Source organism: Homo sapiens, chromosome 2 (genome assembly GCF_000001405.40).
Source record: "Homo sapiens chromosome 2, GRCh38.p14 Primary Assembly".
NCBI lineage: Eukaryota > Metazoa > Chordata > Mammalia > Primates > Hominidae > Homo > Homo sapiens.
The window spans coordinates 105339012-105351407 of record NC_000002.12 but is presented as its reverse complement, the minus strand read 5'-3'; the positions used below and the strand labels follow the sequence as shown (position 1 = coordinate 105351407).

Sequence of the window (12396 nt, the reverse complement as noted above, 5' to 3'; positions counted from 1 at the left end):
TAACTCTGCATTCCTTAAGTGAGTTTGTTCCAAAGAGCACAGTATGTATGAAAAGGGGAAACAGAAATAACCTTTTTTTTTGGGGGGGGGGGGGCGCGGTGGGCAAAAATGACATTTAGAAGGGAAAAGCAATAACTATAGTGGAAAAAAATGACAAACACTACGTCGGCCAAATGAGGTTAAGGTTAACCTCAAAAGTAGTATCATGTTTACAGCATGTGTCCTCAAAATAATGTGATGAAAATGGCAATTTACCTCTGTAGTCCTCCCCGCAAAACACATAGCCCCAGTCTAGTCATGAGAAAAACAGAAAAATCCCAATTGAGGAACATTCTCCAGGTATTTACCTGACCATTACTCTTCAAAACTGTCATCAAAAACAAGGAAACTCTGAGAAACTGTCACATCCAAGAGAAGCCTAACATGACATGACAACTAAATAACATGGTACCCTGGGTAGGATCCTGGAACAGTAAAAGGGTATTAGGGAAAAACTCAGAAAATCGAAAAAAATTAAGAACTTTAGTTAACAATGAGTCATTTCAACAAAGGTACCATATGAATGTATGTTAGTAGGGAAACAGTGTGGGGTATGTTAAAAATCTGTACTACTGTGGCAATTTCTCCAGAAATCTAACTGTCCTAGTTTATTTTTTAAAAGTTTATTTTAAAAACTTATATAGCAAGGCAGAACAGACAAAACAGAAGGCTTCGAAAGATAGGATGGTTTTATATTTATGAAAAGCATTTGTCTTTCACCATAACTGGTAAAGCATTTTACAGTCTCCTAAATGTTTGTTAGTCAAAGAAGTAAGTTTTAGTTTAAACTATTTACCTGAAGATTAAAAAAGAAAACAACACTTGGCTAATTTTACTTGAGGATAAAAGACAGGGCTATTACAGACTTACTCAACTAGTCTATTTTTGATTAAACTGAATGCTTGGTTAAGTCTCAACAGAGTTAACAAACAGCTTCCAATTGGTATTAGAATCAAATCCAAAGTCCTACATTCATACATCATCTGGCTCCTGCCTACCTTCTTTGACTTCATTTTATACTACCACTGCCCGTTTTCATTCACTGGAGCCACACCAGTCTTTCTGTTCTAAGAACCTAGTAAGCCTTAGGGCTTTCATGTTTTGTCCTTGTCTGGGACCTGTTAACTACTGCTGGGTAGCAAACTACCCCCGACACTTAGTGGCTTTATACAACTCCCATTTTATTCACTCATGATTCTGAGAGTCATCAATTTGGACTGATCCCACCAGGAAGCTCATCATACAACTTTAGTCAGCCGGCAGCTAGACCGGGGGGGATAGGTGACTAGTGGTCACATCTGGCAGTTAGTGCTGGCTGTTGGGTGAGCCATGTATTTCCAGTGGGTATGCCTGGGCTTTTTCACATGGCTGCAAGCAGAAGTCCAAGTGTAAGAGTAGAAGCATTCACTTGATCAAAGCAAGTTACAAGGCCAGGTCCACATACAAGTGGTGGGAAGCTGACTCCAGCCTTGATGGGAGGAGTATGCAGCCATCTAAAACTGGACACATGTAGAATGCTTCTCCTGAAAGCTCTCCATAGCTATGCCTTAGGCATGCTCTCTTCAAAATATAGTATCTTCAGAGGCCTTTCCTAACCACTGTATTTAAAATAGCTTCTCATCCTACTTTCTTCATCCTTCACCATTTCTTGACCCTGTTTTACTTTCTACCATTACAATTACCCATTATTTCATGGTTCACTGTCTGTTTTCTCTATGAAAGCAAGTACTTAATCTGCCTTGTTCATTCCCAAGAAAGAGCTAGCATAGTAGGTACTCAACAAATACACAGGCAATTCTAATCTCTATTTTTTATTCCACAATAAGATGATCAAGCTACTAAACAACTGAAAAAGCAATGCACTTTAGTTAGTAAAATGCACTTTAGTAAAAACAATCTAAGTGGAAATAAGATTTTTGTCTCTTCTGTCCAGACAAAAAAAATGAAGAATCTATGTGTTAAGTACAAAGTAGAAGCTGGGTGTGCTGGTGCATGCCTGTAGTCCCAGCTACAGGAGGCTGAAGCAGGAGGACCACTTGAGCCAAGGAGTTCAAGGCTGCAGTGAGCTATGATCATGCCACTGCACTACACTCTGGGCGACAGAGCAAGACCTCATCTCTAAAACAAAACAAAAGACAAAGTAGAAAGTTACCTGAGTCTTTTCCAAGTTATTTAATTTACAGCATCAGTCTCCAAATATAATAATATTAAGATAGCAGTTTAGAAATTAACTTTTTTTCAGATCACTCTAACATAAAATCTCTCAACTGAATCTCTAGTTTGTCTCATTTTGTTAAGAGCTTTAATATTACATGGGAAGTTCAGAGACTTCTATTTCCATCCCTCAACATGTAGTGACAGTCAACATGTCAGGCTCTGTAGCACCGTGATATCCCAGCACCAGACCACTCCAGCCACCCTCTCATTCAAAGAAGGGCTACAAGATATGGCTGGACTACTCGAATCACATCTGATCTTAATCAATCCAGGTATAGAAAGTTGTACTATAAAGAATACTTTCCAAAATTGTTCACTCAAATAAAAACAGATCAAGTCATTACAGAGCATTTTTCCATTTTAATAAGAATAACAGACCTACTCAAGGTAATTTTATTCTGTTTATTTAAATAAGGATAAGACTACTTAAAAGACTTTTTACATACAAAAATGTACAAGGTTAAACTTTTCTGTACTGAATTACAAAACCTGCACAAGCATGTAATAAAAGAGCACACTTAAAAACATTCTGACCATTATTTAGCCTCTAAAAATTACTGAAGTTCAACAGTAGTAAATAGAGGAAGCTCTTACATATATATATATATATATATATATATATATGATTTAATCTACTGGCAGTTTTACTTAATGTAAGTATTTAAAAGGTCACATTGCTATTGAATGAGTCTCTAGATCAATTTTAGAATTGTCTCTCAAAACTTAAGTCAACCAAAATATTATTTCAAATAGTAATTCCAATTCTGAAGAATTTTAATACCAGCAAATATATTATGGCCTCATAGTAGTAACTGAACCAACTTTCCAAAGTGCCTGGTAGCTGTCCAGATGAATTAGGCTGCTTTGGAAAACTGTACTGTCTCTACAGCCATTGAGAAGCCATTCAGTGCCCTGGTAGGGACCTGAGACTTTCCAGAATTCACACAGCAGTCTATGATCCCTCAAATGTAAGAGGACAGGGGGTCAGCCTATCTTCACCTCTCAGTGAATGTGGAGGGCCAAGCAATATGACTTGCAAACCTAAGCTAGAAGCTTGGGATCTACAGTAAGGAGGAAGGAGAATTAAAGTAGAGAAAGAAAATGTATAAGGAGAAAGGGAAAAGAAGGAACAAAGAGGGAAAAGAAAAAACAAGGATGCCTGCTAATGGCAGGAAGTGGTAAAGTGCCTATAACTACAACTTACAAGCCACCCACTAATTCTAATGCCATTCATTTGCCTACTCCAATAATAAGAAAAGCTGGCTTTACTGGAATATAGAATCTAGAGCAACATTACCCGCCTCATGTTAGTGAGTAACTAGTATTCTAAAGTTGTTTGCCATACATATCAAGTTCTTCTAACCTTTGAAGCAAACCAAAACACTTCAAAACTCAGGGCTCCCAGGGCTGCTGCTCCAGATTCCCAGCATTCAGCATGCTTCATTATGTGGAGAAAGACATTTCAAGACAAGCTGTATCTATACACCTTCAGAAGGAACAAAGCTCTAAGAAGGTGGGATTATGTTAACACATAGTACATGGTTTAGCGTTTCTCCACATTTCAAACTCAAAATAGCTCAATAATATGCTGCTACATGAGCATTGATTCTGAATGTTCATAATATAAACTTCAATTTGAAGCAACAATGTTACACAGTTCAGCTGTTATTACCAACCTACTCTGTAAGTTAAAATACAAATAAAATATTAATTTTATTGAGTAACTAAAAATAAGTTCCCACTGACTTAAAATCGTCAAATGGCTAACTCTCTCTCAACTAAGAGAGCAACACAGATGGAAGCAGAGAGGACAACTGAATATAAAATAAAATTTGTCAATCTACTCTATAATCTGCACTTTTAAAATCCCCTTTTGCATATATGTATGTATAGGATCACAGTTGCCCACCAACATTATGTCTGTCAGCCCTGCAGATAACAATTTACTGTAACGTTAACAATTTATGCAATACTTAGTATGTTTTATCTTATGTGTACAGATTTACAGTTTGGAATAAAGGCAGAATGATTAAAAACTATTGGGTTAAAGTCTTAGTATGGTACTTACCTGCAAGGCTGAATTAATTTTTTGGAAGGCTATTCAATAGCTGAACTAAAATGCTTGTTTAACAAATCAAAAGAGGAATAAGACTACTTTAAAACATATTGAAAAAGGTAAATCCCAATTTGAAGATCAATCATATAACGAAAAAAGTATGAAGTATCCTTTGCTCTTGCTTAGAAACACATAGCAGAACAGTAGAAACTAGAACTCATGAATATAAGGTAAACCCTATTTTCCCACTGATTTCCATTATACAATTGGAGTGAAAATACCACTCAAACAAAAATAAACAAAAAATCTTAGCAGGTAATTCTGTGTAGAACAGCCATGTGGGAATTGTCTATATTACAGCTGCAGGGAATCTCATGTAAGCTAGGAGTCCATCTTCCTATGTTGCACTCTGCAGTGACTTCTGACTCCAGTAGCTCCTCTATTGCCTACTCCATATTACGCTAATTTTTGCCCCTGACTGCTATGCTTCCTGGACTCTTATAAATTCTAGAATTCTACCCCCACTCCTAACTCTCTAAACTTTCTTCCATCGAATACCACCTCTAACATGATTACTCTGCCTGAAGACTTTTTAAATCAACTTCATTTTGAAAAGATTAAGCTCCCACGAGCGAGTAATAGCTGAACTCACAGAGTGAGATCACAGACTGCTCATGAAAAGAGTACGTAGGACTGCTACATGACAAGAACATTCTAAAGGATGGGCCAGGTACAGAATCGACCAGTCAACTCATAATATATGTATCAATTGTTACAACTTCAAGGAAAGGAGCAATAGCAAGCACTGATTCCTTTTTGCTTTTTATGGGAAGAAGCAATGTAAGCAATTAAAGAACAGCATTTTTATCTGTATATTCTGAATAGTTTTCCAGCACTACTACAAAGATGCTTTTCTTGGTGAACATTTAAGGATGAATGTTGCAGTATTTACTAAAATACTGTGATAAATTGGTATATGCTTCTGCTTTGTAAAAGAAATAAAATGGCAGGCAAACTAGTAAAATATTTGAGTTTTTAAAAAAAATCTCAAAAATCTCAAATTTCCCCCAAAGACTCTGAACAAGGCTAATGAGAGTAACTCCGAAAATTCACTGAATGCTTTTTTTTTTTTGAGATGGAGTTTCGCTCTTGTTGCCCAGGCTGGAGTGCAATGGTGCGATCTTGGCTCCCCGCAACCTCCGCCTCTCAGGTTCAAGCGATTCTCCTGTCTCAGCCTCCTGAATAGCTGGGATTACAGGCATGCACCACTATGCCCAGCTAATTTTGTATTTTTTAGTAGAGACGGGGTTTCTCCATGTTGGTCAGGCTGGTCTCAAACTCCTGACCTCAGGTGATCTGCCCACCTCAGTCTCTCAAAGTGCTGGGATTATAGGCGTGAGCCACTGCGCCTGGCCAATTCAATGGATGCTTTATAGCACATTTGTAGCTAATAATTTCAGTAGGGTCAATATAAATGACATATACTAAGCCATTGGTTTAAAAAGATATTCTTTCCTAATCAGGGCAAGACAGGCAAGAATTTTAAAAAAGGAAGGGAGGGAGGGAAGAAGGGAAGGAAAATAAATCCTTTATTTTTTTAAACCTATTTGAAACCTCTTAAGAAAATTCCACAATAATCAGGATTTCTGTAAATATTGTCAATATATATGAACATATTTGAAAAACTACAGTTACAGTATATTTACATTTTTGGAAACTTTTCTTCAGGGCCAAGTAACATGTTGTATCTTCCTTTTTGCTTGTGGGGGCTTCAGGTTATTCTGAAAGACATGAACAGAAATCAGTTTATACTTGCAGAAATATCAGAAAACAACTAAAATGAACATTTCAAACAACCAAGGTTTACTATTAATGTATTAATGGAAGATCACTGCTGCCATCTGGTGGGAATATATTTAAAGAAACAGGGGTGAGTTCTCTAGCTCTGTGGTTCTCAAATGTGTGTAGTTTAGAATAACTTAGAGCACTTAAAAACATGCCCCAGGCCTGGTCTTATCACAGAACCAATTAAACCAGAATCCATAAAAGGTAGGGGGATAAGGCTCTGACTTCTTTTTGCTTTTTTTGGAAGCTCCTCAAGTGATGTTAACATACAATCAGAGTTGAAAACCACTGACTGCTCCAGATCTGCTTTCTCCCTGTCCAGCCTATCTCCTCCATCAACTTTACAATTTAACAATCCAAAGTCAATGCAAATAGGCTGGGCAGGTGGCTCACGTCTGTAATCCCAGCCGAGTCAGGTGGATCACTTGAGGTCAGGAGTTTGAGACCAGCCTGGCCAACAGGTTTGGTGAAACCCTGTCTCTACAAAAATAAAAAAAAAAAAAATTAGCTGGGTGTGGTGGCAGGCGCCTATAATCCTAGCTACTCGGGAGGCTGAGGCAGGAGGATTGCTTGAACCTGGGAGGCGGAGGTTGTAGTGAGCTGATATCTCACCACTGTACTCCAGCCTGGGAGACAGAGCAAGACTCTGTCTCAAAAAACAAACAACACAACAAAAACACAAAGTCAATGGGAAATGTTAATAAGAAGAAAAAGATTTATATGTGGGCCCTACATAAAAAAGAATCTTTTATCCTTAGTGTTTCACATATAGCTCTCTCACACTCTCTCTCTCTATATATATATATATCTCATATCTATAAAACAGTAAAATTTTGTAGGGTAGAGAAATGCTGTTTAAGAGCCTGGAAAAAAAAAATTCTCTGAGGCTTACTCCTTATGGCAATATTTGAGATGTGGCTTTATTGTTCTAACTCTTATCCCACACCTTCCTCCTCTCTCCCACAAAGGTAGCTGAAAGGAGTATGGACGAAGCATGGCCTCCAAAGTGTGTGCCCTGGGATCAAACAAACCTAAATTCAAATCGCAGCCTGGTGGCTTACTAATAACTCTGGAATTCTGGACAAACTTATTTAAATTTACTAAGTTTCTGTTTCCTTATCTGTGAAATAGGAATAACGAAGATGCCTACTTCATAGTTACTGAAAGGATTCAATGAACTAATAAAAGTAAAAAACTCATGACCAGTCAGGTGGTTTTCTTTTTCCAGTCTACTATTTTAGAATGTTTGAATTTTCTGAGTTTTGATCCCTTTGATACATGATTAGATGATAATAATAATAAAGGCAAAGTATTCTACAGAATAATGGCTATTAAACTACTAGGTATTTAAAAGTAAAAGCACTTTTCTGAAGCGCCTATATATATTTTATATTATATATATATAAATCATCTCACAAATTAAACTCTAATACATTGTGTTAACTGCACTAAATGTGCCAACAAGCATCCAAATGATTCAACATAGTGGAGCACAACATAATAGATTTCCCCAACTTCTGCTATCCCCACAAAGCTAGGTAAATTGAGCAGTAGGCGAGGCAAGTGGTAAATCTTAAAAAGATTCTGGTGTCTGGTGTGGTTTTAAGGTATGCACAAACAGACAGACTTAAGGTCAGGCCCCAAATGCTACTTAATAAATGTGTGACCCTGGACAAATTACTTAATGTTCTAAACCTTGCTAATAAAGGAATATTTATCTGTTTTAGTTCCAAGACAGTTAAAGGAACTAAATGAGAAAAATCTAGGAAAACTGCCTAACAGATCCTCTCTCTACGTATTTTAAGCAGAAATAACTTGAGTGAACTTTTAAAAACATTAATCACCATGGATTTTTAAATTCCAGGATTCAAGTACTGGAGTAATAAGTTGTATTATACAAATCAGACAGACCATCAAAAGGGTTCAAGAACAGAATGTAGCACAGTCGACCCACCTCCCGTCATGAGGCAGACTGCTCAAGTTTCATTCAGACCACTTACCAGCATGGAAACCACCCCCATACTTACCATGGCCTCTGCCTCTTCTTTAGGAGCAGCTCTCTTTAACTTCACTGGAGTAGTTCCAACAGGGGACAATGGTGGCGACTTCACAGGGCCTGAAGGACTTTTCCTATGCGTTAAGTCATGGTTCTGTTTAGCGTCATTATTATTGTGTTCCGTTTTATTGTTCACAGGCAAATTGGAAGACAAAATTAGGGGTGAAACACTCGAAGAGGAATTTGATAATTTTCTAAAGGCATTACTGGTAAAGCTTGCCTGCGGGGGAGGCTTCAGTCGATCATTATCTCCATTCTCTGTCTTTTTCACTTTTATGCTTGTACTTGTTGAACTTCCATCAAATACGATGAGGGGTCTTTTCCTTAACCCATCTACAGTGCTACTCCTGAAATCAAAGAGATGCACTCTTGAAAAATACCATCTGGAACGGCAAACCAGTTCACTGGGATTCAAGTTAAAATAAGCAGTAAACAAAAAGATTTTCTGATAAGACTAATCTGAGACTATTAAAAATGAAATTTTCTATGTTCATTCTAAATGAAAGAATTTCCTAGTGTTTTATTTCAAAGTTTAAAATATTTATGTACAAGAAATTCAAAGTTAGCTTTCATGTATACACAACATGCAGCTATTTTTAAAACATCAATTAACCATCTAGCCCTGGAACTTAAAATGAGATTTCCTAGTTAAAAAACAAACACCAGCTTATTGATAGGGTTATCTTAACCATGTAATCAGTTATTATTTTAAAAGGATGATAAACTATAAAACTATACCAAGACTACCACAGCAGCAATCTACAAATGGGGCACAGCATTCTACTCCATTCAGCAAAGGTCTCTAAAGCCAAGACATTTTCTAAACTAATCGTAACTGGACATTTGTACAAGTTCAATTGTAAAATCTGGCAAGTGTCTCATACTTACCTTCTGGAAATCTAATTTCCACTCTTAATAGTAAAGGTTAATAAGGAAAGCATTCATTTGTTTATTACTTATTATACCTCAGATAATATCTATATCACCTATCTCACAGATGAATTGAAAAAAAATTTATTTTTGAGACGGAGTTGCGCTCTTGTTGCCCAGGGTGGCGTGCGATGGCGCGATCTCGGCTCACTGCAACCTCTGCCTCCCAGGTTCAAGTGACTCTCCTGCCTCAGCCTCCCGAATAGCTGGGATACAGGTGCATGCCACAGTGCCCAGCTAATTTTTGTATTTTTAGTAGAGACGGGGTTTCACCATGTTGGCCAGGCTGGTCTTGAACTCCTGACCTCAGGGTAATCCGCCCGCCTCCCAACATGCTGGGATTACAGGCGTGAGCCACTGCTCTTGGCCCAAAAAAAAACCCTTTTAATTAAACATGTTAAAAGAATCTGAGATAGCCAGTTATCAGGAAGAACATTTTAGCCCTGCCACTCAAAGTGTGATCCAGGGACCAGCAGCACCAGCACAGCAACGTCAGTCAGTATCTTAGGAGCTTGTAAGAAATGGAGAATCTGGGGCATCAACCTGAATACATCAGAACTCACCTTTTAACCAGATTTCTAGCAGTTGGCCAAACTCAACAATTCTTGGGTCATCACTGAACATCATTTGGTAGAAAATGAGAAGTAAGCTCACTGTATACCCACTGCCTTTGTAGAAGGGAAACAGGGACTGAGAGCAGGGTTTGACAGCTTGCTTAATCTAAGATTCAAGAAGCACATTAAAGTTTGAGAAGCACAGGGCTATGTTGCTATGGACCTGGTCCTAGCTCTGTGTGACCTTGGGCATGTTACAGCACTTCTCAGGATCTCAGTTCCTCCACAGATAAAATAATAAGTAGTTCAACAATACAAGATGATCTCTTGGATCCTTCCAGTTTTAATGCTCTGATTCAATTGTGTATTTAAAAAATAGAGTCAAAGATCCTTTCCAAAATGATTTTGGGGGACTAATCAAGACAGTTGTACAAAGATTGCTTCAAAGGAAAGTATGACTGGCACATAAAGTTTTGCTTACTAGAACAATATGCCTGAATGTGCTGATCAAGAGGAAAATACTGGCTGAATAACAGCAAAAGTAAATTAAAAGCCATATGCAGTGTAACCCATATTTATGAAAGTTAACACCACTACATAGTCTGTACTAGTAAGTAAAGTAACCATCAAGCTAAAATGGTCAATCTAAAATGCATTCTTGATCAAAGGTCAGACTGTGTGTGTATTTTCCAAAAGACAATGAGCAGACATGTATTCTTCGACTATTCTTCATAATTGGAGAATAATCTCAATCATTAAATTTTTCTTTGTAAAACAGAGATTAAAACTCAGAGGAACATACTCCCCTTTACCCCTACCCTCCTACTCTGTCTTCTCTCACTGCTTCTAGTGGATTGCCTATGACGGTGCCTTACAAATAGAAGGCCCTAAAAAAAAATTAATTGATCAATAGTATCCACTTGAGATATAATAGACACAGAAGAGTTCACTTAAGGATCTTAGGACACTTTGTACTTATTAACCAATCAACAACACTGATTAATCAAATGTAATTTTCTTTAAAAAAGAAAAAATCACTTGCTTGTGGTTTTATAAAACTGTTTTTGAAATTAAATAATTTTAAATAGCATAACTTAAGCTAGTTAACAGGCCCTTCATTTGTGTATTATTCAAAGACCTTAGAGTTTTACCTGACTTGACTTTTTCCTCAAAATTCAGGAAATCCTATTGGCTCTATCTTCAAAATACATGCATGCTCCAACCCACCAAATTTACTATTGTAGTCAAAGCTGCTGCCATCTATTGCCTGGATTACAGTACAGGCTTCTAATTTGTTTCCCTGCTTCCAGTCTTATACACACCGCTTCCCCTCCCCACACACCTTAAATCACTTCTTAGGACAGCAGCCAGAGTCATCTTGTCAAAATGTACATCTAATGATGTCACCACTCTGCTTAAAACCTTCTAGTGGCTTCTCATCTGAGTACAGCCAAAGTCCTTACAATGACTTACAAAGCTTTACATGATCTGACAATCTCTCCCGTTTGCCCCCAGTACAACTCGTTCTTCCTACTTCTCCATCCAGCCCTGATAGCTGCTTTGTTGTTCCTGGTATATGATGGGCACATTCCAGATCCAGCCTCTTGTATTCTGCCTGGAATCCTAGCTTGTTTTCTTCTTCCTACAGGTCTCTCTACTAAAATGTCATTTTTCACTAAGATCTTCCTGGATAATTTACCAAAAATTGTAATCTTTCTCCCTGGCCTTTATTACTATATAACAATACCATATTTTAACTGTTGTTATGTTTCTCCCATCAAAAATATGAGCAGGGAATTTTGTCAGTTTTATTCACTGCTATACGCACAGTGCCTGGTGCTCAATAGATAGTCATTGAGTAAATAAATTTTTTACTTAAGTTTATCTCAGGAAAAATCAATAACTTATATATAACTTTAGTTATATAAGATAAATTGAAAGCTAGAACCACCAAAAAGTACCTTTTAGTCTCATTTTTAATCTCATGTTGTTCTCTTTTCTTTTCCATCATTTTCCCCCATCTATTCTTCGGCAAATCCCTCTGAGGCAATGGTATTGCATGTTGGACATAAAGGTCAGTAAGACTGTCTTTGTTTACTCTTACATCAGTTTCAACAGCTATGTTCTTCTGCGGGAAAGGAAACAAAAGTAATTTCAAAACAATGTTTTTAATTTTAACAAGTAACCACCTTACCTAACATGGTAAAACATTACTGCTTAAATAACAAATTATAAAAAGCCATTTTCACAATAACACGCGCACTTAGAGACAGTGTTAAAGGTTAAATTCTGTAGATACTAGGTTCAGCCTCATCTTAAAAACAATGGTCATATTTTCTCAGTGTGACAGGGATTGCTGTCCACAACTGCTCAGCCAACACACCAAGCATGAAAGATCATTTCCAGTAAAATTATCTTAATATACAAAGGGGATTGAAAATGGGAGACTGCCTGTTGACAAAAGAAAGCTAACAATGATTAACAATCACCACATTCTGTCAATAAGCTACCTTGAGTGTTACTATCATGATCAGATTAGTGGGATGAAGGTCTCAGTCTGTCTTATATTTCTCGTGCTTCTCTAATCTGGTGCTTCCTAAATTGAAGTTAACTACCAAGATTTCAAATAATACCACAAATAGAAACTGTTATTCCCGTACTGACGACAGTAGCAGTACATCATTAGAAAAGCCTGCACC

The 12396-nt window shown here is 37.3% G+C and overlaps 1 protein-coding gene across 8 annotated transcripts in view; it reads right to left on the bottom strand.

Annotated features, from left to right (window-relative positions):
- C2orf49 (chromosome 2 open reading frame 49) overlaps positions 1-12396 on the bottom strand; it is a 48360-nt gene that overhangs the window by 34492 nt on the left and 1472 nt on the right. For 2 of the 8 annotated variants that reach the window (XR_007081586.1, XM_017004892.3), the window contains exons 2-5: positions 11659-11825; positions 8434-8560; positions 8185-8307; positions 6019-6093 (exon numbers count right to left, since the gene is read on the bottom strand). Coding sequence is in view for 6 of the 8 variants with exons in the window: in XM_017004892.3 (XP_016860381.2) it covers positions 6037-6093; positions 8185-8307; positions 8434-8560; positions 11659-11825 (474 nt within the window). In the remaining 2 variants the exon portion in view is untranslated. Of the gene's footprint in view, positions 1-1834; positions 2158-2196; positions 6094-8184; positions 8561-11658; positions 11826-12396 lie in introns of those variants that run through there. The other 6 variants (XR_007081585.1, XM_047445805.1, XM_024453136.2 and 3 more) reach the window with 5 other exon arrangements.